At 59.5% G+C, this 25,936-nt stretch overlaps 1 protein-coding gene across 15 annotated transcripts in view, besides 2 other annotated features; it reads right to left on the reverse strand.

Annotated features, from left to right (window-relative positions):
* Positions 1 to 25,936, reverse strand: part of RASA3 (RAS p21 protein activator 3) — a 154,841-nt gene that overhangs the window by 28,494 nt on the left and 100,411 nt on the right. For 14 of the 15 annotated variants that reach the window (XM_047430157.1, NM_007368.4, NM_001320821.2 and 11 more), the window contains 14 exons: positions 23,535 to 23,611; positions 21,571 to 21,651; positions 21,113 to 21,185; positions 18,003 to 18,079; positions 15,128 to 15,232; positions 12,487 to 12,643; positions 11,828 to 11,976; positions 10,961 to 11,075; positions 9,921 to 9,995; positions 8,933 to 9,056; positions 6,866 to 6,972; positions 4,895 to 4,972; positions 3,111 to 3,188; positions 1,257 to 1,330 (listed from right to left, as the gene is read on the reverse strand). In XM_047430157.1, the coding sequence (XP_047286113.1) occupies positions 1,257 to 1,330; positions 3,111 to 3,188; positions 4,895 to 4,972; positions 6,866 to 6,972; positions 8,933 to 9,056; positions 9,921 to 9,995; positions 10,961 to 11,017 (593 nt within the window). In that variant the 5' untranslated portion in view covers positions 11,018 to 11,075; positions 11,828 to 11,976; positions 12,487 to 12,643; ... (3 more) ...; positions 21,571 to 21,651; positions 23,535 to 23,611. Of the gene's footprint in view, positions 1 to 1,256; positions 1,331 to 3,110; positions 3,189 to 4,378; positions 4,836 to 4,894; positions 4,973 to 6,865; positions 6,973 to 8,932; positions 9,057 to 9,920; positions 9,996 to 10,960; positions 11,076 to 11,827; positions 11,977 to 12,486; positions 12,644 to 15,127; positions 15,233 to 18,002; positions 18,080 to 21,112; positions 21,186 to 21,570; positions 21,652 to 23,534; positions 23,612 to 25,936 lie in introns of those variants that run through there. The other variant, XM_047430159.1, reaches the window with a different exon arrangement.
* Positions 17,988 to 18,827: an enhancer, noted in NCBI's record as "H3K4me1 hESC enhancer chr13:114789740-114790579 (GRCh37/hg19 assembly coordinates)". NCBI's record gives its function as "activates a minimal SCP1, AML or CMV promoter by ChIP-STARR-seq in naive H9 embryonic stem cells {active_cell/tissue: H9 hESC(naive)}" and the evidence as "EXISTENCE:reporter gene assay evidence [ECO:0000049][PMID:30033119]".
* Positions 24,915 to 25,856: an enhancer, noted in NCBI's record as "H3K4me1 hESC enhancer chr13:114796667-114797608 (GRCh37/hg19 assembly coordinates)". NCBI's record gives its function as "activates a minimal SCP1, AML or CMV promoter by ChIP-STARR-seq in naive H9 embryonic stem cells {active_cell/tissue: H9 hESC(naive)}" and the evidence as "EXISTENCE:reporter gene assay evidence [ECO:0000049][PMID:30033119]".

Consider the following 25,936-nt stretch of genomic DNA (forward strand, 5'->3'; position numbering starts at 1 on the left):
ACCACCTTACCCTTCTCCCCTCCTGCCCTGCCGGACGCCACCTTACCCTTCTCCCCCCTCCTGCCCTGCCGGACGCCACCTTACCCTTCTCCCCACTCCTGCCCTGCCGGACGCCACCTTACCCTTCTCCCCACTCCTGCCCTGCCGGATGCCACCTTACCCTTCTCCCCTCCTGCCCTGCTGGACACCACCTTACCCTTCTCCCCTCCTGCCCTGCCGGACGCCACCTTACCCTTCTCCCCCCTCCTGCCCTGCCGGACGCCACCTTACCCTTCTCCCCACTCCTGCCCTGCTGGACGCCACCTTACCCTTCTCCCCACTCCTGCCCTGCCGGATGCCACCTTACCCTTCTCCCCTCCTGCCCTGCTGGACACCACCTTACCCTTCTCCCCTCCTGCCCTGCCGGACGCCACCTTACCCTTCTCCCCCCTCCTGCCCTGCCGGACGCCACCTTACCCTTCTCCCCACTCCTGCCCTGCTGGATGCCACCTTACCCTTCTCCCCTCCTGCCCTGCTGGACACCACCTTACCCTTCTCCCCTCCTGCCCTGCCGGACGCCACCTTACCCTTCTCCCCACTCCTGCCCTGCCGGATGCCACCTTACCCTTCTCCCCTCCTGCCCTGCTGGACACCACCTTACCCTTCTCCCCTCCTGCCCTGCCGGACGCCACCTTACCCTTCTCCCCACTCCTGCCCTGCCGGATGCCACCTTACCCTTCTCCCCTCCTGCCCTGCTGGACACCACCTTACCCTTCTCCCCACTCCTGCCCTGCCGGACACCACCTTACCCTTCTCCCCACTCCTGCCCTGCCGGATGCCACCTTACCCTTCTCCCCTCCTGCCCTGCTGGACACCACCTTACCCTTCTCCCCACTCCTGCCCTGCCGGACACCACCTTACCCTTCTCCCCTCCTGCCCTGCCGGACGCCACCTTACCCTTCTCCCCTCCTGCCCTGCCGGACGCCACCTTACCCTTCTCCCCCCTCCTGCCCTGCCGCCCCCCTCCTGCCCTGCCGGACACCACCTTACCCTTCTCCCCTCCTGCCCTGCCGGACGCCACCTTACCCTTCTCCCCCCTCCTGCCCTGCCGGACGCCACCTTACCCTTCTCCCCTCCTGCCCTGCTGGACGCCACCTTACCCTTCTCCCCTCCTGCCCTGCCGGACACCACCTTACCCTTCTCCCCTCCTGCCCTGCTGGACACCACCTTACCCTTCTCCCCTCCTGCCCTGCCAGACGCCACCTTACCCTCCTTACCCTTCTTTAAGCACGATGGGCTGCTCAACACTCTTGGGGTCTCTTCTCCCCGAGGACGAAATCAGATCCAAGAACTAAAGTTGGAAGAAATCAGGTCACCGGGAGGAAGCCACACATCTGACGTGCACGGCTCTCTGTATAACAACAGCGTCGGCGGCTACTGCCTCCTTTGTAATACCAGTGGAGACAGAATCTGGGCAAGTGAGTCCTTCCCCGAGGGCTGTGGGGCCTCTGCTCCCCACTGTGCCACCCCAGCCCCGGCACTGCCACAGAGATCTCAGGTGAGAGGCCGGGCTCAGGCAACACCTGGGGATCAACCTGCATCTCCAGAGGCCACCCAGGGGTGACTCTAAGCAGGGAATCTGGGTCCCGGTAGTGAGGAGGCTCAGGCATCCCTGACTGTGGGGAGGAGCAGAGCCCTGGGGCCTGGAGGTTGCCCCCACGCACCGCGTTCCTGACTGTGGGGAGGAGCAGAGCCCTGGGGCCTGGATATTCCCCCCACGCACCGCGTTCCTGACTGTGGGGAGGAGCAGAGCCCTGGGGCCTGGAGGTTGCCCCCACGCACCGCGTTCCTGACTGTGGGGAGGAGCAGAGCCCTGGGGCCTGGATATTCCCCCCACGCACCGCGTTCCTGACTGTGGGGAGGAGCAGAGCCCTGGGGCCTGGAGGTTGCCCCCACGCACCGCGTTCCTGACTGTGGGGAGGAGCAGAGCCCTGGGGCCTGGATATTCCCCCCACGCACCGCGTTCCTGACCGTGGGGAGGAGCAGAGCCCTGCGGTCTGGATGTTCCCCACACACCGCGTTCCTGACCGTGGGGAGGAGCAGAGCCCTGCGGTCTGGACGTTCCCCACGCACCGCGTTCCTGACTGTGGGGAGGAGCAGAGCCCTGCGGTCTGGACGTTCCCCACGCACCGCGTTCCTGACTGTGGGGAGGAGCAGAGCCCTGGGGCCTGGAGGTTGCCCCCACGCACCGCGTTCCTGACTGTGGGGAGGAGCAGAGCCCTGGGGCCTGGATATTCCCCCCACGCACCGCGTTCCTGACTGTGGGGAGGAGCAGAGCCCTGCGGTCTGGACGTTCCCCACGCACCGCGTTCCTGACTGTGGGGAGGAGCAGAGCCCTGCGGTCTGGACGTTCCCCACGCACCGCGTTCCTGACTGTGGGGAGGAGCAGAGCCCTGCGGTCTGGACGTTCCCCACGCACCGCGTTCCTGACTGTGGGGAGGAGCAGAGCCCTGCGGTCTGGACGTTCCCCACGCACCGCGTTCCTGACTGTGGGGAGGAGCAGAGCCCTGCGGTCTGGACGTTCCCCACGCACCGCGTTCCTGACTGTGGGGAGGAGCAGAGCCCTGTGGTCTGGATGTTCCCCACGCACTGCGTTCCTGACTGTGGGGAGGAGCAGAGCCCTGCGGTCTGGATGTTCCCCACGCACCGCGTTCCTAACTGTGGGGAGGAGCAGAGCCCTGCGGTCTGGATGTTCCCCACGCACCGCGTTCCTGACACTGAGTCTGCAGCCCCAGGGCTCCACGACTGCAGCCTAGAGTGAGTCCGGCCACCACACACACTGAGGTGGGACGCGCCCTCATTCGGGGGGCTCAGACACAGAACAAGATGGGCGAGGGCCCCGTTTTGGCCCCAAAGGCAGTCACGCCAAAGAGTTTACCAACTGTGGGAGGAGGTGTCCCAGGACTTGGGACAAGGCTGTCTGGACAGCGCTGTGAATGCACCGAACGCCTTTATTGTTTAAAATCGCTAATGGCCAAGTCTGTGTCATGTGGGTTCTATCTCAATTTTAAAAGAGAACTCCGTCTCCTGAGCACGGCACACGGGCGGTCGGAGGGTGAGTCGATACTTACGTTCTTCACCGCATCAGCATATTTCTGCTCATTGAAGAATTCATAAAATGTAGCCATGTAGGACTCCTTAAAACTCGCCTAAAATGAAACGGAGATCACTCGAGGACAGCCCGAAGTACCTCGGCTCACGGCCCAAATCTGAAAAAGCTAGAGGCAAGAACTGTCCAAGCCTAAATGACGATAAACAGGCAAAGAACCCGGTGTTACCGGGCAAGTGAGAGCCCGCAGGGCTGCCCGGAGGACGAATCACATAAATCGCTCAGGCGCCAACGAAGACCATCAGACCTGCCAGTGCCCGTGAGGTCTCCAAGCACCCTTTGGCATCAGTGACTCCGTCCTGGCCCCGGGCTGTCCCTCACACCTGGGTCCCAGGCTCATGAAGAGGTACGTTGGGGCCCAGATGTGGCTGCCTGGGAACCTGGAGTCATAGGCCAGGGTCCCAGAGCCCCCACGCCCATCTCTCGCCCGTGGGGCATAAGGGCCGCTCTGAGGTGGGAAGAGGGGGCAGGGACCTCCATCACACGGGGAAGTGGAGGCACCCAGGGATTCGGGGGGGCCTTTGCAGCCACCATTCCTGAGGCTCGACCCCAAGTTCCTGTTGTTTCCACACTGAGGTCACTGCACAGTTCCCTGGCTGTGAAATGAGGTGGGTTTGGTGCAGACCTCGGAGGAGGCTCAAGTGCCTGTTATGGAGTTTCCAGCCCACAGCGCAGGGCCTGGCTGGTGGGAAAGAGCGGTCGGTGCACCTCGGCCTGCCTGCGAGTGTGGCACATCTTTTACTCACTCGGACTCAGAGAAACCCAACGTTTGCCCCAAGCGGGCTGCTCCTCCAGTGGGGGCCTCTGCTCCCCAAAGCCCTCATTTCTACCTGGGCCCCACCAAGAACAGGGAACCAGGAGGCCTGGGCATCTGTGCACCACAGCCCAGCCCTCTCCAGACGGAGCCCCGAGGGGGCCCGAAGGCATCGAACTGCCCTGGCCTGGCCCCTGCAGAGACAGCCTTGGGCCTCACCAGGAGCACTGCCCCCGGGACGCCTCAAACGTCAGCTCTGACCCCCTCAAACACACAAGGTGCTCTTAGGGGGAAATGGGGCAGATGCCTGAGGGACTCCTGACCTGGTGGCACCAGATCCAGTCTGAAGGGACGAGGATGGAGGACGGAGGTTCATATCCACAGGGAGAGAGGGGCCCTGGGAGGAGGGGGCCGCGTGGGGAGGGGAGCGCCACGTTGGGAGGAGGCGGCCGCTTGGGGAGGAAGCGCCACGTGGGGAGGAGGCGGCTGCGTGGGGAGGGAAGTGGGGAGGAGGGGGCTGCATGGGGAGGTAGTGCAGCATGGGGAGGAGGGGGCCATGTGAGGAGGAGGGGGCCGCGTGGGGAGGTGGGGAGGAGGGGGCCGCGTGGGGAGGAGGGGGCCGCGAGGGGAGTAGGGGGCTGCGTGACGAGGAGCCTCCAGCACCGCAACGCCCAGGAGGCGCCAGGTTAGGCCATCTGCCTGGCCTGTTCAGCCGCTTCCCACACCTGACAGGTCAGATGCTGCTCCTGCCACGGGGCCGGCGACGAGCCACAGGCTCCCGAAAAAGGCAAGGGGTTCACTTTAGGAGGGGAGAGGTGAGCGGGACGGGGACGCTCAGGTCCTGGGTTTCAAGAGAGGATGTGGTGCCGGCTTTGATTCTTGATCTTTATCTTACGACTCTCTCAAATGTGGGAGGTTTTTCACGTGTATTTTCTGAAGAGAGAAAAGAATCAGTTGTCCCTAAAAAGAGAAAATGAAGAAGAGGGACTCACAGATTTGGACTTGGACAGGCTGCCGAGGGTCTGAACGGTCTTGGAGATCAATGTCAGCGTCCTGGACGTCTGGGGGTCCTGGGGAGGCGGGAGCAAGAAAGGTCTATGTCAGCATCACAGAAATGCTGTGACTGTCCCAGATCGAGGGGACGAAATGCAGGAGTCACCTCAGAGCTGCTGTGGCTTGTGCATGAGCTACGGAGAAACAGGGGTAGCGACGCAGATGGGACTGGAGGGGGTGGGCGTCCCACAGTCTCAGGAGCTGCTGAGACCATCCCGCAGGCAACATCCGACGGCACCGCGGTGACCCACTCTCTCGGCCCAGCGTGCAGGGTGCATCTCAAAGTCGAAAGCATCAGGTGGGGTCATGGCTCTGGGGCGCTGAGTCTCGGGGTGCTGAGTCTCCTGGCCCTGCCTGGGGCTCATCTCAGCCTTCACAGGGTTTGAAGGTTCAACTCAGAAGTGCTGGGGGCCGGGCTTGGTGGCTCACGCCTGTAATCCCAGCACTTCGGGAGGCCGAGGCAGGTAGATCACTTGAGGTCAGGAGTTCGAGACCAGCCTGGCCAACATGGTAAAACCCCATCTCTAATAAAAATACAAAATTAGCTGGGCGTGGTGGCGCACGTCTGTAATCCAAGCTACTAGGGAGGCTGACGCACGAGAATTGCTTGAACCCAGGAGGCAGAGGTTGCAGTGAGCTGAGATGGTACCACTGCACGCCAGCCTGGTGACAGAGCAAGACTCTGTCTCAAAAAAAAAGAAGTGCTGGGGAATGGGCAATCCCTCACGTCCTCTCGCCCTGGCCATCTCCTTCCAGCTCTGCCACCCGCACGTGCAACACGGTCACCCCAGATCCCTGTACCCTGAGAGCTGCGGCCCCAGCAACCACATTGGGGCCTGGAGAAAATCAGTGCTAAATAGGAATCTGTTGACTCAATACACGGATGATACGCCGATCATCAATACTCCATATGTGATGGGCAGGGGAGGAGAGCAGGGCGGTGACCAGCAGCTAAAACCCTGGACAAACCGTCCACTGCTTTTGTGACACTGTCTCGACTCCCCCAGAACGTACACAGCTTAAATAGGTCGGTGAACCACCTGCAACGAGGACGTTCCAGGACCCAGCGCATCCACCAGCACTCCCCACGCACCGTCCACACACTCCACACACACTCCACACGCACTCCCCATTCCACACACCTTCCACACTCCCCGTGCACCGTCCACACACTCCACACACACTCCCCATTCCACACGTCTTCCACACTCCCCACTCCCCATGCACCGTCCACACACACTCCCCATTCCAAACGCACTCCCCACTCACTCATTACACACACTCCCCACGCATTCCACACACACTCCTCATTCCATGCACACTCCCCATGCATTCCACACACACTCCCCATTCCACACACACTCCTCATTCCACGCACACTCCCCACTCACTCCTCATTCCACACACACTCCCCATTCCACACGCCTTCCACACTCCCCACACACTGTCCACGCACTCCACACACTCCTCATTCCACACACACTCCCCATTCCACACACACTCCCCACTCACTCATTCCACACACACTCCCCATTCCACATGCCTTCCACACTCCCCACGCAGTCCACGCACTCCACACACTCCTCATTCCACAAACACTCCCCATTCCACACACACTCCCCACTCACTCCTCATTCCACACACACTCCCCATTCCACATGCCTTCCACACTCCCCACGCAGTCCACGCACTCCACACACTCCTCATTCCACAAACACTCCCCATTCCACACACACTCCCCACTCACTCCTCATTCCACACACACTCCCCACTCACTCCTGATTCCTCACACACTCCCCACGCATTCCACACTCCACACGGTCGGCCCCCTACAGCCACGCAGATGCCCCAACCCAGGCCGGCGTCGCAGGACAGCTCAGAAAGCCTCGGTCCCTCAGCCGGTCACTCACCGTGTGGTGCGGCGTGAGCTGGAAGAGGTTGGGGGAGAGAATGGCGGGCGCAAAGAACCTCAGGAAGATGAAGCTGCTCACTGCAGTGTACCTGACGTCCGGGTCATCTGCGGGAGAGAGAAGCAGGGTGACCGTTTTCCTCGGGCACAATGGCCTCGTGGGGACACCATGCCCCGGCCCCCTGAGGGTCCGCAGGGAAGTCCAGCCACAGTCCTGGCTCTATCTCCACCTGTGTCTGTCTCTCTCCCTCTCTCTGTTTCCCTCTCTCCCTCTCTCTGTTTCCCTCTCTCTCTCCATCTCTCTGTCTCTCCCCCTTTGTCTCTCTCCCTGTCTCTCTCCGTATCTCTGTCTCTCTCTCTCTCCCTCTATTTGTCTCTCTCTCATCTCTCTGTCTCTCTCCCTCTCTTTGTCCCTCTGTCTCTCTCCCTATCTCTGTCTCTCTCTCTCTCTCTCCGTCTCTGGCTCTCTCCCCCCCTCCATCTGTCTCTCTCTCTCTCCATCTCTTTGTCTCTCTCCCTCTTTGTCCCTCTCCCTGTCTCTCTCCCTATCTCTGTCTCTCTCTCTCTCTCCCCCTCTCTCTCTCCGTCCGTCTGTCTCTGGCTCTCTCTCTCTCTCTCCATCTCTCTGTCTCTCTCCCTCTCTGTCTCTCTCCCTAACTCCATCTCTCTCTCCCCGTCTCTTTCTCTCCGTCTGTCTCTCTCTCCATCTCTCTGTCTCTCTCCCTGTCTCTCTCCCTATCTCTGTCTCTCTCTTTTTCTCTCTTTCTCTGTCTCTCTCTCTCCGTCTCTCTCTCCCTGTCTCTATCTCTCTGTCTCTCTCTCTCTCTCTCCGTCTCGATCTCTCTCTCCATCTCTCTCCGTCTGTCTCTGTCTCTCTCCATCTCTCTCTCTCCGTCTCTATCTCTCTCTCCGTCTGTCTCTGCCTCTCTCTCCGTCTGTCTCTGCCTCTCTCTCCGTCTCTCCCTGTCTCTCTCTCTCTCTCCTTGTCTCTCTCTGTCTCTCTCCTTCTGTCTCTGCCTCTCTCTCCATCTCTCCCTGTTTCTCTCCATCTCTCATCACCACCACACAGCGCAGCCCCTTTGGTGTCTCATTCCACAGTGGTCTGTGCTCATCTGGGTGAGAGGATGTGTTTTATCTCTTCACTTCCACCTTGTTCAAAGTGGGTCTGGGGCTGGGATGTGCTTGGGAACTGCCTCCCCCAGAACCCTGGGCCCCTCGGCCGGCGCTGTCTGACTGTCTGATGTCCTGAGAATCAGGGGTGGGGACAGCGTTTGTCTCCTGGGGACACAGAAGCGTGGACGGCTCTGCAGGACCATGGCCACCCCGGGGTGTCTGCAGCTGTCCCGAGGCCACAGGACACGCAAGGAAGAGAGGAGCCGGCAGCAAGGCCCTCGCTGAGCCTCTCAGCGCCCCATACATAGCCTGAGTCCTGGCGGGGTCTTGAGTATCGCAGGTGATGGGTGGGTGCAGGCACCCAGCTCCTCCCTGAGGGTCGGCAAGGTTGAGAAGTGGGGTTTGGGTGCTGGATGCCCAGGTCCCTAGGGGATCTCCGGCTTGGGGGTTTGAAGAAAGGGCAGCTCCCCCAGGGGTCCTGTCTCTTCGAAGACACGGGCAGGCAGAGCCCCCAACACCACTCTGGGCCCTGCCAGGGTCGGCCACAAAAAGAAACCACTGGGAAAACCCAGGGGTCCACATCAGGAAAATTCACATTCCACCCCGACAAAGCCTGGCCACCCTTCCCGGCCCCCCCAGAGACCACTGTGGTCGTGAACTCCAGGGCTGGGCCCCTCTAGAGACCACTGCGGTGGTGATCTCCAGGGCTGGGGTCCCCTGGAGACTACTGTGGAGGTGAACTCCAGGGCTGGGGTCCCCCAGAGACCACTGCGGTTGTGAACTAGGGAACACTGGCCCGGGCACAAACCCCGGAAAAATCCAGCATCGGAACTGGGGTTCACGACCCCGCAGTTCTAGTCTAGCCAGGGCTGCGGGGGGTTCTGCCTGGGTGGGAGTCACCCTGCACAGCGCTATGGCAGTTTCTCAGCAACATGAGGGTGTTCAGGGCACTCACCCTGGAAGCGCTTGGCCGCCGCCTCCCGGAGGGAGAAGAAGATGTCACACATGACGGTCGGGCAGCTCACCCCAGACTCAGTGATGGCGTGGAAGACGCGGTCCACATACTGCCGTAGGTTCTCCTGCAACGGGACACGGCACTGGGACCCACTCCCGAGGCTGCCCACAGGTGCGTGTAGCACCAGGGCACGCCCAGGGAGGGGCGCGTGGGGAGGGGCTGAGGGCGGGCGCAGGGCAGCTGCGGCAGTGAGACACGTGTGAACAGCCACTCCCTGGAAATCTGTGCTGGGAGCTGTGGCAATTCACGCGTGAAAATCACTACACAGGCACCACGTCGGCTCCCCGGCTCGGCCCCGACCTCGTTTACTGAGTGGGGAATGGACGTTCACTAGAATGTGCCTGCCCAAGGCAAAGAGCTCTGTCATTTACATACAGAAATGACGAAACAGCACGCTCTGCAAGAAGTATCATGTGAAGTGACTAAAATGTTGGAGCAAGTTCAACATCAGGGAGTTTTGCTGTTTTAAAACGCAGTACACAGCTCTGGGGACAGCCTGGGGAGGCAGGGAGGCCATCCTGTCCTAGGAAAAGGGAGGGGCAGGAGCCATTGCCCAAGGGAAGGAGGAGCCGGGGCGGAGGCAGAGCTGGTCAGGATTGTCCAGGGGAGGCAGAGCAGGGTGTGCAGGGCAGACCCTCCGGGGGGGCAGAGCTGGGGCATGCAGACCGGATCACTCCAGGGGAGGAAGAGCTGGCCGGGACCCCCCAGGGGACGCAGAGCCCGGCACACAGGCCAGGCCAAAGGTGGTGGCTGAGGCCTCCCAGTAGTGCAGCCAGCGTACTGCAGCCGGGTGAGGCGGGTATCCCCACGCCTGGTCCTGCTCCCACCCCAACCGGGGTCACGGGGTGAGTCAGAGCTTCCAGGCAGCCATCGGCTGAAAAACCCCAAGCAGGTGACTGGCTTTGGTTGGTTCATGAACAAAACCTACCATGTTGTTTTCAAGGTTTTCTCCGTCTTTCAACTTCACAGGGTCGATTTCACAGGGTTTGTGGCTCTGGCATATCTGGGGAGAGGTTTAAGACAGGGCTCTGTGAGTGGGTTCTGGGGGCACAGGCAGGGAGGGTGGAAGGGGTCTCAGGCCTGGCTGAGATGTAGACCCTGAGCCTCATCCAGAAAATGCCACGACAGCTCCCCGAACCCGGCCACTGGCACGGAGGGGCACGGTGAGGCCGGACTGCAGGGCCACCGTGGGGTGGTGTCGTCCCGAGCCTCAGCTGCAAGGGGGCAACCCTGGGCCTGTGTCACTGGCTGCGGAGGGACAAGTGAGAGGTCAGGCGCAAACACTAGGCACGGGGCCCAGTCCATGGCCGCGATCAGACGAGCCGGGCTCTCTCAGGGAGCGATGTGCGCCCGCGATCAGACGAATCGGGCTTTCTCAGGAGTGATGTGCACCAGCCCACACGGACTAGGCCTCACAGGGCTTTAATAATATTTTTACTTCAAAATGCTGCCATGATTTTGCCCACAGAGCAAACCAGAATGCTATGTTCAATTTTCTCACATTTGCAAAGAACCTGTTTACAAACCCGCTCATAAACGGGGGGCACAGCCTGGCGGGCATCAGAGGGTCAGGTGAGGAGTGGGTGTGCGGGCATCAGAGGGTCGGGTGAGGACTGGGCGTGCAGCTCAAACATGCCACGCAGCCAGGGCCCAAACACAGGGGACTGCAGGACATGTGGAGAAAGAAGGTCTCCCTGGGAAGAGCCAGGCTTTTCTTGCATGTTCTCCTTTGTGGAGTGGTGGATTTTCTTATGTATAGTTTTAATTTGGGAGAATTTGGAAGGTTCTGGAGTACACAGGGAACATCCTCTTGATAAAAGTGAATGAATCAGCATCCCCGTGGCGAGGCCAGAGGGGCCGACATTCAAGCCCAGCTCGTGGTCTGGCTGGATCCCAGTGCAGTGCCCTCTGTTGGGGGAAATCCTCCCCACGCCTCGTGAGGCTGAGGACTCTCGGCCCCGTGCTCACCTCCTCGATGGCGGGCTTCAGGGTGACATGCAGGTAATGCATCCCCGCCAGCTTCATGGTCTCGTCGATGCACTTGGACGCCAGTGAGTTTCCTCGGAAGATGGTGTTGGGGTCCCTGGGAAATGGCGATGGGGACAGCGTTTGTCTCCTGGGGACGCGGAAGTGCAGACGGAGCAGAGCCTGGCCCCGAGCACCTGCCTGTGGGCTGTGAGGTCAGTGCACGCCCATCAGTCGGCTTCCTGACATTTTACAAGGAGCACAACCAGGCCAGGTGCTTGGAGGCCCTGGCCATGGAACCGTCCTGTGTCAACACTGCCAGAGGGAACCGTTCGGCTACCTGCGTGGCCACCAGCTCAGGAGGAGCCTGGCTGGCCTTCGCCCTCCCGCCCTCTCCCCTCTGCGGCCTCTGCCTGTGCAGAGAGTTGGGCACCAGACCCTGGCAGCATCCAAGGGCCAGCAGAGAAGCAAACCCTCCTGTCAGCTACAGTGGCTGCAGGTGCAGCCAGATGTTTCTAGAACAGGGCGTCCGGAAACAGCACTAGGCAGGTCCTGAGGGAAGCTGTGCTCCATTTTTGTGGGCTCCCAAAGTGCCCCAGGGAGGGGACCTGAGCTGTCCTCGAGCCCCAGGAGCCGTTTCCCCTCCCCACTCACTCACTCTACCCGGGATTTCAAAGGCAAATGGGACTTTCAAAAAAAAAAAAAAGAATCATTAACTGGGTCTGTGAAAGAAAACCTGAATCAACATGGTTTCTGGGGACCCTTGAATTCCCTCAAGCCCTGCCCCAGGACACGTGGTTCTCGGCGACGACCTTGCCATCCCTGTAGCGGGTCCAGGCCGCTCTCCCCCGGGGCAGGGTGGGCACTCACTGGGTCCGCTTCACCTCCGCGCTGGCGATGGCACTGATGAATGGCACCACCCTGCCATAGTGTAGGAAGAGCCGCACCAGCGGGACGGCCGCCTCCTGCTTCTCCCGGCAAACCTCGCCCAGGATGTGGGCCGCAGACGCTGACACGGGCTGCGGGGAGGGGTGAGGTCAGTGCCAGGGCCCGGGGTGCAGGAACCCCAGAGGCCTGTCCCCACCTTGGCTGGGGTCTCACTTCCAGCCACAATAGATACGGCTCTTTGCTGAGACAGAAACACACACATTCACAAAAACACCAAACTTCCCATTTGCTGCTGCTTGGCTGGACCCTTGGAGGGGCATCTGCACCTCCTTCTAGCGACCCCCCCATGCAGCCAGCTCTAGGGCCCCTGAGCCGGTAGAGGGACTCTGATGATGGGGTCCCCCTCGAACAACCCGGAGAGTCCTTAGCATCACCAGGCTCCCACGGCTCTAACTGTCGACGGACCAGTGCCCCCAGCAAAGGGGTCCAGGCATCTGGACGGGAAACAGGCCAGGCTGGGAGGCGTGGGAAAGGCCCCCTCAGGGAGAAGGTGCCCTCTGGGGTGGGCCCGGGTGTAGGGTGGGGCCCCAGGCAGGTGGCACCTCCTGCCCACACCCACAGGCCACGGCGTGGACAAGCACCTCCACATCCGCAGACTTCAACAGCAGGTCCCGCAGAGGGCTGTAATAGTCAGAAGAAAACACGTGGTCTTCCGTGTATACCACGTTCAGCCGCAGGGAGCCCAGGTCGTCTGGCTTTAGGCTCTTGCTACCATTGTCCCGGGGCTGGAGGAAGTACCTGGGTGGGAGGGACACATGGAGGGGAGGCATGAGGCTGCATCTGCCAAGGAGCAGCTCTCAGGGAAGCCCAGCTGCCTGCTTGAGGTCGACTGGTCAGGAGGGTGATCCTGTAGGACCCCTCAGAGTGCAGCCCCTGGGGACTCCCCACCGAAGACCCCCAGCAGGGCTGGTCACCGGGGATCCCCAGGAGGCAAGTGTTGGAGCCAAAGGCGCAGGAGTCAAGGGGGGAAACGCGGAGGGGGATGGGGGTGGAACGTGGCAGGAACGGGTTTCCGGGAACCGGCACAGAAGTGGTCAGTGACCCGCCCTAAGACCCACACCCAGCAGTGTCAGCAGCAGGTGGAAATGAAAATTATCTCAACCAAAGTGTGCCGTGGCTCCCGATGTCACGGGGTGGGGGCCTTGGGCTAGTGAGCCTGGCAGGCCACCTGGGCACCTGGTCATTGTAAGAGACGTTTTCTGCCCGGACATTCTTCCATCTTTGGTTCTACCCCACGCAGTCACCCAGGAGCCCTCTTCTGCTCTCATTTGTGGGCCAGGCAGTCTAAGCTCTCAGGTGGGTGGAGCCTGTGTCCGAGGCCCCGCCCCCATCAGGTGGGTGGAGCCTGTATCCAAGGCATTAGCCCCCGTCAGGTGGGTGGAGCCTGTCTGCAGCATTAGCAGCCCGGTCAGGTTGGTGGAGCCCGTGTCCGAGACATTAGCACCCCTGTCAGGTAGGTGGAGCCTGTGTCCGAGGCATTAGATCCCCCCTCAGATGGATAGAGCCTGTGCCTGAGGCATTAGCCCCCGCCAGGTGGGTGGAGCCTGTGTCTGAGACATTGGCGCCCCCGTCAGGTGGGTGGAGCCTGTGTCCGAGGCATTAGCCCCCCTCAGGTGGGTGGAGCCTGTGTCCGAGGCATTAGCAGCCCTGTCAGGTGGGTGGAGCCTGTGTCCGAGGCATTAGCCCCCCTCAGGTGGGTGGAGCCTGTGTCCGAGGCATTAGCAGCCCTGTCAGGTGGGTGGAGCCTGTGTCCGAGGCATTAGCCCCCGCCAGGTGGGTGGAGCCTGTGTCCGAGGCATTAGCCCCCGCCAGGTGGGTGGAGCCTGTGTCCGAGGCATTAGCAGCCCTGTCAGGTGGGTGGAGCCTGTGTCCGAGGCATTAGCCCCCCTCAGGTGGGTGGAGCCTGTGTCCGAGGCATTAGCCCCCCTCAGGTGGGTGGAGCCTGTGTCCGAGGCATTAGCAGCCCTGTCAGGTGGGTGGAGCCTGTGTCCGAGGCATTAGCCCCCGCCAGGTGGGTGGAGCCTGTGTCCGAGGCATTAGCAGCCCTGTCAGGTGGGTGGAGCCTGTGTCCGAGGCATTAGCAACCCCGGTCAGGTGGGTGGAGCCTGTGTCTGAGGCATTAGCCGCCCCCCATCGCCCCAGGTAGGTAGAGCCTGTGTGCGAGGCATTAGCACCCTGGGGCTCTCTGGGGTATGTGGTGGCTGCCTTGGCTACCAGGGCCAGGGATTCATTCAGCATAGGAGGAAGCCTAACTCAGCTCAGGGGGCCTGTGCCCGTGCCGTCTTCGTAGAATCAAAAGACACGCGTGTTTCACGGTTTCTGGGATGGAAACCTGCCCTCACACATGGCAGAGGGACACATGGGGTGCGAGGCCCCGGCACACAGTCCACGCCTGGGAGTGCACGCTTCCCGTGACTCCGGGCCCTCTCAGGAGCTGCCTGTCGCTAAGGGACACACATGAACTGGAGATAAAATGAAACAATGGCCTGTTCCTTCCACCAAAACACCAAGCACCTGGAGACAACAGGAAAGAAAGGCAGGAGGCAGCAACACACAACATGTCCTGGGGTGGGTTCTGGGTCAGAGCCGACCACTGAGGTCTAGACGTGCAGAGGGGAGTAGAGAACCCTGTAATGCGCCCTCAACAGGAGGTGCTGCCGAGGGCCCAGAACAAGACCCGGAGCGCAGCCGCGGCGCAGCCCTGCTGTGTGCGCATTCTGGGCTCCTGCACCGGCTGCTGATGCCCTCCCCTACTGGTGTCAGACCTCACGAGCTGCTCGCGGCTCAGGGCCCCGCTTTCACCCAGGATCAGACCCCACGAGCTGCTCACAGCTCAGGGTCCCACTTTCGCCCAGGATCAGACCCTGCGAGCTGCTCGCGGCTCAGGGTCCCACTTTCACCCAGGATCAGACCCCGTGAGCTGCTCGTGGCTTAGGGCCGCTTTCACCCACGTTCCCTGTCTTGTTTTGAGGTGCCAGCCATTGTGAGTCCCTGCTCAGTGTGATCCCTGCTGCCTCTCCTCACCTGCCATTTCTCACCTGCTGTGGGGCAGAAACTCATCAAGCCAGAGCTCGTCAGAGCTACATGCAAAGTAAGAGCAGGTGGGTGCTGGGCACAGCCGAGGACCAGCACATGTGGCCTCTGTGCCTTTCCACTCAGAGGCAGCACGTGTTTTTGTGGCTCTCAGAGATGCGGAAGTCTGCAGGTGCAACATCATCTTACCACGCCTCGTAGGAGCTGGACTGCCGCAGGACTTTCAACGGGATCCTTAGTTCTCCCAGGAATTCATCTCCAAACTTCAGGTTACTGGCATTCCAGAGGTCAACTCTGAAAAACAGCATCAGGACAGCTCTAGCTGACGGCGGGCAGCCCGTGTGGAGCAAAGATGACAGGCCACGCTTTGTTCCCCCAGGAGCAGAATGGAGCCTGCAGCGCCTCCCAGAGTCTCCATCAAGGCTCAGCCCACAGGGCACGTTTCAAACACGTCAGACCAGCCTGTGGCTTTGGAATAAAGATGAGTGTCTCCCAGTGGTAATGGGCAGGCAGAGGAAGGCGGAAGGCCATGGGCCCGGACTCAGACCCAGGCTCTTAGATAGGAGGGAGCCTGGGCATCGCTGCGTGCACCCAGAAGCTACATGACCCCAGGCTCTTACATAGGAGGGAGCCTGGGCGTCGCTGCGTGCACCCAGGAGCTACATGACCCCAGGCTCTGTGCCAGGAGGGAGCCAGGCGTCGCTCTGTGCCAGGAGGGAGCCAGGAGTTGCTGTGTGCACCCAGGAGCTATGTGGCTGCTGCCACTCTCAGCTCCAGCACCATCTGTCCCCTTTGCCCACAACAGGCCCAGCACCAGCAGTCTGTGCACGGCGGGCAAATGTAGAACCCTGTCTCCATGGATTGCTCATGATCTAGGGGCACAAAGTGGATTCAGGGGCCATGCACACCACAGCGGGGGGAGAACTGTGGCCACAAACCACAGCACGGTCCACGAATCTCCGTGACTACCGCAGGCCCAGCATTGTGAAGCTTCTGCTCATGTCTAACACAGCAGCGGCTCCCACTAATGTTCTGTCCTAGTGTGGGATGGTACGTGTCCCCTCAGACCTGGGGCTGTGAAATTCTGACAGACATACAGCATCCCCGGCTGCAACAAGTCTACAGGGCTGGTAACCCAGTCCCTCATGGCCAGGACCCACTCATAGGCCTGAAACACCTGAAGTCATGCGTGGCCAGCCCTACCCACGGGCCTGAAACCACACAGTTACACGTGGCCAGCCCTACCCAGGGGGCTAAAACTCGGCAGGCCTAACCACACTGTGGGCATCAGGGGCATCCCCCTGGAGGGAGAAGATTCCAGAAGGCTGGGGATTTTGTTACCCTTGCGAATCCTGCAGGGAAGTGGCACCACAGAGGCACTGGCATCTGGGCCGGGGAGGGCTGACAGGCTGCACAGGAACCCACAGCGCGTTCCTTTCAGAAGGAACATGAGGGGACCGCTGATCTGCCCATGGACACTTTAAAAAAATGTGCTGAGTGGCCAGGCAGGCGCATTTGCCTTTAATAAGGGAAATATTTAAAACATGTTTTGTGTGCTTTTAAAAAATTTAATAACTAGGACTTCACTCCTGAATTCAAAACTTGGTGTAAAAAGAAACCAACAATGGCGCTTCCTTCTCTTGAAAAAGGGGCTGGTGTGAGTCCCTGGGGAGGCAGATCTGACCGACCACGTCAGGGACATTCTATGGTTCAGGACCCTGACCCCTCAGGAGGTGGATCTGACTGACCACGTCAGGGACATTCTATGGTTCAGGATGGAGACAACTATGGGGGACGGATCTGACCGATAACATCAGGGACATTCCTACAGTTCTCAACCACAAAACCACGCCTCCCAGCAGCCGTAGGGCCTGAGCCACGCACCGGCTCCACGTGTCCCATTAAGGGTCCCCCCAGGGCAGTGTTAGCCCCTGGGAGGGAGGGTGACCAGGGATTTGATGGCCAGCACATTCTCCAAAATGACCTAAAGAAAGCAGGTGCATCCCAGGCTCAGGGACATCCCAGGCTCGGGGACATCCCAGGCTCGGGGAACATCCCAGGCTCGGGGAACATCCCAGGCTTGGGGGCATCCCAGGCTCAGGGAACATCCCAGGCTCGGGGGCATCCCAGGCTCGGGGGCATCCTAGGCTCGGGGTCTCAGGGCCGGCTGGGGAGGGTCAGGAGGGAGCCGTTTCCTTCCTTCTCTGTCCAGCATGGGAAGATTCGGGGGCTTCAGGGGAGGCTCATCTGCCTCTTCATAGGGAATGGAGGCATTCGTTGGTACAGAAGGAACAGAGGCTACGTTCAAAAATAAACAGGAATCCAGCTTATTTTCACTGGGAGGAGGGAACCCGCCGGGGTTTGTGAAGGGCACATTCTGACGCCTGCCCTCCCCAGAACTCTGAGTCAGCGGGATCGTGGGGCTCTCTAAATCCTGGGCCTGAGATCGCGTCCTGACCTGCGTGAACCCACAAGCGATTTCCCCGTTTCCCGTGGGAGGCGTTGAGGAGCCAGGAAAGGGCGGTGGGGGCTCCATGGGCAAAGGCTGAAGATGCAGCTTCTATGACCATACACAGGAAACATGAACCCAGGACGCCAGGTGAGAGTGTTTCACTCGAGTCAAAGGGGACAGGGTCTCCACAGAGGCCACCCAGCCGAGAGTTTCAGCAGTGCCAGTGGGTCCTGCTCGGTCAGGGCCAGGCGTCGTGCTGACCCGCCAGGCCCTGCGACCTCTGAGTGAGGCCTGAACCCATGGAAGGCGGAGGGCTTAGAACAAGACCTTAAGAACGGCTGCAGCCCCCGTCACTCCAGGTGGATGAAGCCTTACGGCCAGAGGGATGCGGACCTCTGGCTTTCGCCTCTTCGCAGGTATTGCAAGGTGAGCCCTAACACCACCCACAGGCTGTCACTTCAACTACAACTTCTAACATCCTGTTGTGAAAATTACCAAGAAAATGGAAATTCATTTCTATCTATGACCCTATATTTAGTAACAAAGAACAAAAGAGCTGAGGAGTTTGGGTGAAAACTGCCAAGTTGGGGACGCGGAGCCTGGTTTTCTCACCTGATTTCGAGCTTGTCCACGTCTTCCTCCTCAAAGTCAAAGTGGGACTTCTTGCTGTAGCTACAGGGCCGGGTCACCTGGAGTCAGACGAGAGAGAAAGCGCTGAGACCGCGGTGCCACCAGGCGGGGGTATATGCGGACCTAGGCCCCGGGCTGCCCTACCCTCTGCGCTTACCCACACACCACTCAAGGGCCACAACCAGGAAGGCGCCAGGCGGGATTCGGGATTCAGGCCTGGCTTCCTGAGTGCCAGCATTTCCTACTCACGGCGCCCCTGGAGGGGCAGACCCAGGTGAGACCTGCCCCAAGGCTGTTCACGGCCACGGCCGGACTCTCCCAGTGGCTCCTGATGGGTGCCGGGCTCTGGGTACCTAAATGTCCGTCACCTGCGCCTGCTCTGGGCCTGCCACCCCGTGAGGGAGGGAGGGTCCCCTCTGCCGTGGAGACGAAGCCAGCGCCGCCCTCCCGTGGCCCCACCTCAAGGCTCTATTTGCCAACAGGAAGTGAAACGCGTGAGGTCTGTGGAGCCTGAACCTGGCCGGCCCCGAACAGGCCCCAGCACTCCAGGGAGGGTCAGACGGTGGAAAGTCAAGACGCTGCTACCTTCCTCCTGACACCTCCGCACCGTGGGTTCCTTAGAACAGAAACGGAGTGAAGGCGTGAAGGGTCGAGGCTCCGGGACCGCCCCCCGCCAGCCAGCAGGGCCCTTGCAGCAGAGCAGGAGGCCGACCCACAGGCTCCAGGAGACAGTGGTTATCACCTGGAGTTCCGATTTAACCACCATCAGCCGTGCACCAGGTCACCTGCGTTTACAAGAAGGGCTCCGTCCTGCCCGGCCTCCCTCCCTGCCCCCCCTTCTCCGGGCCTCAGCAGTGATGCTGGCTCAGGAGCTCTCAGCTCGAAGTTCTGATGTAAGGCTTGACACCAAAATCATGTTGCTAAAACTGCCTAACCTCTGAGCTTGCACTTCCTGATTGGTAAACTGAGGTGAAGATCACGCAGGGGCAGTTCTCTGCTTCGGGTTGAGGGCTGCTGACGCCTCCTCCTTCCTGACCTACACACCACTGTCCAAAAATTTGCTTCCCCCCAACTTCCCCATCTCACAAAACTCAGGTCAGGCAATGCCTCCTCCAGGAAGCCCCCAGTGCCCCTGCCTCATGCCCTCTCTGCAGGGCAGGTCAGGCAATGCCTCCTCCAGGAAGCCCCCAGTGCCCCTGCCTCACGCCCTCTCTGCAGGGCAGGTCGGGAGCTATTGTAGGGGCTTGTCTGTTTGCATCCCTCCCATGCTGGCCTGGTGTGGTGGCCTTGGACTCCTCTGTTTTCTGCCACATCTTATCACCAGCTGATCACCAGCACGGTGCTGGCACCTGACACGTGTTGAGTGAATGAAGGCAGCTCCTACCAAATTTATGAGATTATTTAATCTCATTTAGAGAGTTAAAGGGTCTTAATGTGTCTAGTTGTTATCCTGGAAGAAAATGGTACAGACGCTGCTTCCCATAGAAACGGAACATCTGTTTTCCTGGGTCTGCTCCCAGTAGGTGGCTGTCTGACCACAGCCCGCGGGGGATGTGCTCCCTCCCCGGGGCTCAGCCTCCAGCTGGGTCAGAAGCAGCTGAAGCCGAAAGAGACAGAGTCCTGGTGAAAGAGGTCTGCTAAGGAAGGGGAGGAGACGGAGTGAAAGGTCACAGAGCCCAAAGAGCAGGGCCCCGCGCGTCCCACACAGCAGCGGTCAGCGAGGTCCGGGCCTTCCCTGGAGCCCCACAGGTGGTGACGCAGACCATGGTTTTCAGACTGTCTGTGGTCACTAAATTGCTCCTGTAGGCTGAGACCCACGTCTTTACAGAGTGAAACAGGAGTGCACACAGTAGAAACAGCATGAGAACACTGCAAGCGTGATGAGCACCCGTGTGTGGCCGGGCAGTGGGCGAGCTCTACCCCACTGTGTGTATGACAGCTCTGTGTGTGGCAGCCAAGCCAGCAGCCGAGGCGGGGGGAGCTGCCACCTGGAACTCGGTCCATGCTGCATGCCTCCTGCACCTCCAACAGGGCCCACCCTCCCCCTGGGAGCCTGGCAGCTCCCTGCCTTCCCTCGCTCTGGCAAAACCATCTTCTCCGCCTGTCTATAAGTGAGGCTTCCGTTTGAGACAGAGAACAGATTCCACCTCTAAAGCCCTCCTCACAGTGGCCCTGAAAGCCTGGCCCTGGCTTTGGACACCAAGTTCCCACCTCTGCCTGTGGGGCCCTTTCGAGCCTCAGCAGTGCCAGTGGGTCCTACTCAGTCAGGACCCACTGACCGGTAGGTCCACTCTCCTACGGTCCCCTGAGAGCTGCATGCATCGAGCCCCACTCAGCCATCATGGCTCAGGGGAGCCCGCCCGACCCCTCAGATGTGACTGGCCATGCTCTTGCCACAGAGGCCTCATCCATCCTCACATCTCCAGGGCCTGTGCACCGGAATGTTTGTGGATGGGAAGAACATCTGCCTAAAGGCCCTGCACACAGCTGTCCCCAAACCGCACCGGCCACATGGCAGGTCCTCACTCCACGAGATGCAGCCATCCCAAACGGGGTCACATTCCACCAGGTGCACCCTTGCACCCTCCTTTTCATGGATTTTGGTGCTTCATGTTCTGAGAGGATCTCTGTGTCTGAATCCTTTCCCCTTTGTTTCAAAACCCTGCCTATTTCCACTGGAACAAGCCTTCCGCCTCTCAGGGATGCTTGGGCAGAGCAGCCAAAAAAACAAAAACCCCCAAGGTCCTGGTAATTTGGAAAGCATTAATCTGTCATCTTTTAACTCAAATCTGGGCCAGTTCGGGAGACAACGAATGACCTTTCTCTCTTGGGAGAGGAGGGAAGGTCCTGTGGCCACGGGTCCAATCCCCAGGGCTGGCTGGCTGGGCTCGCTCCTCTCCGGAAGGAACCCAGGGCCGGCCGGCGGGGCTCGCTCCTCTCCGGAAGGAACCCAGGGCCGGCTGGCGGGGCTCGCTCCTCTCCGGAAGGAACTTCCAGAGGGAAGAGACTGAGATCATTCTGGATCCAGACTTTCTGCCAACGTGTCTCGGGTGCAGAGTTTCCACTTAACGTTGACCCATGAAGATACCAACCTCAAAATAAAACACTTCATCGAACTGGGGATTGTTGGTCTTCCTCTTCACTTTCGTCTTCTTTGCTTCTGATCTGTTATCAAGTGAGAAAGGATTGGGATTAAAACAACACTGCTGATTCCAAGTCTCTCAGTGGTAAAACCGAGCTCTCAAATGCACAAGTCACTTATTGGCTTTATTTATTTTATAAATATTTCTGCTGGTCTCCAACTCCAGATGGTATGCAAATCAGGAACCTTTACTCAGCCAAAAATACCCAGCGTGAAGAGCATGAAGGCTTCATTTTCTACAAAGCAATTTTGGAGCAATAAAGAAAACAAAAGGAAGTAAAAATTCACATTCTACCTCAAAGCGCAACCTCCTGACTCCTCCCAAATGAGGCAGTGGTCTCGTGATTTCAGAGCTGGACCCTAGCCCCCCAGGACCAGAACAGAAACCTGAAGCGTGAGGCAACTTGCCTGAAGGGTCCTGCCAGCGTCACGGTGGCGTAGGGGTCACATTGCCCATTCACGATGGGGAGGCCCTGGCACTCGACGATGCTGAGGAGAGAAGCAGAGGCGGCGTCAGGAGGGAGCGCAGACACCTGGGCGAATGGCGAGACAGCTCTGGGTCAGGCAGGAGGCCTGAGTTCAAGCTGTGAGATGAGGTTTCCTCACCGGAAGGCAGGGAGGGCCACACCAGCCATTCTGCCTCGGTGTGACGCTGAATCACGCTGGCCATTCACAAAAGCCCAAAACAACACCTCTAAGGTGAGCATGTGCTTTAGCGTGGACGCCAGCAGTGTGTGACAGCACATCTAAAGCAGCGTCATCGGGGGGGCGGGGGGCAGGACCCCTAAAACAGTGTCATCCTGGGGGCCAGGACCCCTAAAACAGCATCATCTGGGAGCCAGGACCCCTAAAACAGTGTCATCTGGGAGCCAGGATCTCTAAAACAGCGTCATCCTGGGGGCCAGGACCCCTAAAACAGTGTCATCCTGGGGGCCAGGGCCCCTAAAACAGCATCATCTGGGAGCTAAGACCTCTAAAACAGCATCATCCTGGGGGCCAGGACCCCTAAAACAGCGTCATCTGGGAGCCAGGACCCCTAAAACAGTGTCATCTGGGAGCCAGGACCTCTAAAACAGCGTCATCCTGGGGGCCCAGAACCTCTAAAACAGCGTCATCCTGGAAGGGGGCCAGAACTTCTAAAACAGCATCATCCTGGGGCAACCTCTAAAACGGCATCATCCTGGGGGCCAGGACCTCTAAAACAGCATCATCCTGGGGCCAGGACCTCTAAAACAGTGTCATCCTGGGGCCAGGACCTCTAAAACGGCATCATCCTGGGGCCAGGACCTCTAAAACGGCATCATCCTGGGGCCAGGACCTCTAAAACAGTGTCATCCTGGGGCCAGGACCTCTAAAACGGCGTCATCCTGGGGCCAGGACCTCTAAAACGGCATCATCCTGGGGGCCAGGACCTCTAAAACGGCATCATCCTGGGGCCAGGACCTCTAAAACAGTGTCATCCTGGGGCCAGGACCTCTAAAACGGCATCATCCTGGGGCCAGGACCTCTAAAACGGCATCATCCTGGGGCCAGGACCTCTAAAACGGCATCATCCTGGGGCCAGGACCTCTAAAACGGCATCATCCTGGAGGCCAGGACCTCTAAAACGGCATCATCCTGGGGCCAGGACCTCTAAAACGGCATCATCCTGGGGGCCAGGACCTCTAAAACGGCATCATCCTGGGGCCAGGACCTCTAAAACGACGTCATCCTGGGGGCCAGGACCTCTAAAACAGCTTCATCCTGGTGGGCCAGGACCTCTAAAACGGCGTCATCCTGGGGGCCAGGACCTCTAAAACGGCATCATCCTGGGGCCAGGACCTCTAAAACGGCATCATCCTGGGGCCAGGACCTCTAAAACGGCATCATCCTGGGGGCCAGGACCTCTAAAACGGCATCATCCTGGGGCCAGGACCTCTAAAACGGCATCATCCTGGGGCCAGGACCTCTAAAACGACGTCATCCTGGGGGCCAGGACCTCTAAAACGGCATCATCCTGGGGGCCAGGACCTCTAAAACGGCGTCATCCTGGGGGCCAGGACCTCTAAAACGGCGTCATCCTGGGGGCCAGGACCTCTAAAACGGCGTCATCCTGGGGGCCAGGACCTCTAAAACAGCATCATCCTGGTGGGCCAGGACCTCTAAAACGGCGTCATCCTGGGGGCCAGGACCTCTAAAATGGCGTCATCCTGGTGGGCCAGGACCCCTAAAACAGCATCATCCTGGTGGGCCAGGACCTCTAAACAGTGTCATCCTGGGCAGCCACCGGCTCTGGAAATTCTTGTGCGTTGGTGTGAAAACCCCTGTGTGCTCCTCGGGAGCCAGACATGCCACTCGCTGTGCGCTCGGTCTCTAGTGAGGACGTGTCTTACCGTGTGGCGAGCTTGTGGCAGACGACCCCAGTGTCTGTGATGACCTCGCTCAGCCGCAGCTCCAGGTGCACTTTGCCCTGCAAGGCACAAGGATGGGGTGTCAGAGGCTGTGGCGCTGCTCCCACAGGCCACTAGGGCCGCGCGCCCAGGGAAAGCCTAGAGGGCAAAGGGAGCAGGCGGCCCCGCCCTGCCCTGGCCAATGGGCACGTCCAGCCCCTCCACTCCACCCCCGGGACGCAGGGTCCCAGCTGTGGCCTTTCTCCAGGAGAGCTGCTTGCCTGACTGCTCAGCCCCATGTGGCTGCCCAGGCTCCTGGCTCTGCTGAGAGCAGGTCGCTGCCTCAGAAGTGAGGGGTCCAACCGTGTAGGAGACGGTCATTCAGTGAAGCAGACCCCCAAAGGCTCTGATGCTGCAGGCTGCTCGTGTGTCCGTCGGGACAAACCAGAGGGGAAGCACAGCTGTCTCCCAAGCAGGGGCCACTGCCTTTACCTCCCCTCGGGCGAGGCCGGATGGAGGCCCGCAGGAACCTCGGAGAGCTCACACAGAGGGCAAGGCTCACACAGAGGGCAAGACTCACACAGGAGGCAAGACTCACGCAGAGAGCAAGACTCACACAGAGGGCAAGGCTCACACAGAGGGCAAGGCTCACACAGAGGGCAAGGCTCACACAGAGGGCAAGACTCACACAGAGGGCAAGACTCACACAGAGAGCAAGACTCACACAGAGGGCAAGACTCACACAGACAGCAAGGCTCACGGGGGCTTCTAGCAGAGCAGACAGCAAGGCTGCCCTGCGGGTCCACCTGTCTCTCTAGATCAGTCTGTCTGTGTGTGCTGCTGTGTCCATCCACCTGTCTGTCTGTGTGCACGGCTGTGGGTGTGTGTCCACCTGTCTGTGCGTACAACTGTGTGTCTGCCTGTGTGCGTGCGGTTTGTGTGTGCAGCTGTGTATGTGAGCATGCTGCTGTGTGTGCATGTCCACCTGTATGTGTGTCCGCCTGTGTCTGTGCATCTGGCTGTGTGTGTGCAGCTGTGTGTCCTCCTGTGTGTGCGGCTGTGTGTCTACCTGTGTGCGTGCAACTGTGTGTGTCTATGTGTGTCTGCCTATGCATGCATGCGACTATGTGTGTCCATCTGTGCTGCTGTGTGCGTGTCTGCCTGTGTAGCTGTGTGTCCGCCTGTGTGTGCGGCTGTGTGTCTGCCTGTGTGCGTGCAACTGTGTGTCCATCTGTGTGTGGCTGTGTCCACCTGTGTGCATGCGACTGTGTGTCTACCTGTGTGTGCATGTGATTGTGTGTATCTGCTTGTATGTGTCCACCTGTGTGCATGTTCGCCTGTGTGTGCATGCAGCTGTGTGTGTCTGCCTGTCTGTGCATGTGGCTATGTGTCTGTGTGGGCGTGCGATTGTGTGTGCGTGTCCGTCTGTGTGCACACGGCTGTGTGTCTGCCTGTGTTTGCATGAAACTGTGTGTGTCTGCCTGTCGGTGTCTGCCTGTCTGTATGTGCATCTGCCTGTCTGTGTGTTTGGCTGTGTGTGTCCTTCTGTGTGTGTGTGCGACTATGTGTGCATGTCTGTCTGTGTGCAAGCAGCTGTGTGTGCATCTGCCTGTATGTGCATGCAACTCTGTGTGTGTCTACCTGTCTGTAGTGTGTGGCTGTGTGCATGTCCTTCTGTGTGTGTGCGCGACTGTGTCTGCCTGTCTGTGCGCGTGGCTGTGTGTCCACCTGTGTATGTGTGTTTGTCCGCCTGTCTGTACATGCGACTGTGTGTGCATGTCTGCCTGTGTGTGCACCGCCTGTGTGTATGTGTGACTGTGTCCACCTGTGTGTGTGTGCGGCTATGTGTGCCTACCTGTGTGTGCCGCTGTCCCTGTATTTGCTCCAGCCTGAATGGCAATGAATGGATGGGATAAACACAGACTCATCCATGCTTCAGGGGCTCTGCCTGGCCCGGCCCTTAGCTCTAGCTCCTGAGGCTCCGGGAAGGCCAAGGCGTGTTCCCCAGGGCTTGTCCCTGCCTGTGGGAGGGTGGGACAGACGGGCAGAATGCCTGGCGCTAAGACGTGGACGGCAGAACCGACAGCAGCCCTGCAGCACGTGGCCTGGTGCAGAACCTCGGATGGAGCAGGGACCTCGCTTAGGCCCCACCCACCTAAATGATTAAAAAACCTTCGAGTTCCTTCAAAAATATATCAGACACCTAGCCAGCCTTGAGTGGTAAATCACCTAACAAGCAAAATAAATAATAAAATAATAGCCAAAAAATTAGTCAGGAGATATTTATTCCCTATACAAGTTAAAAATAGCATCTTAACATATGTCCCTAAATTGTTTTTCAAAAACCGAGACCCTCACCAAACAGATCTACCAACACAGACCACAAATGCAGGGGGGATCACAGG

This window comes from Homo sapiens, chromosome 13, assembly GCF_000001405.40.
Source record: "Homo sapiens chromosome 13, GRCh38.p14 Primary Assembly".
NCBI lineage: Eukaryota > Metazoa > Chordata > Mammalia > Primates > Hominidae > Homo > Homo sapiens.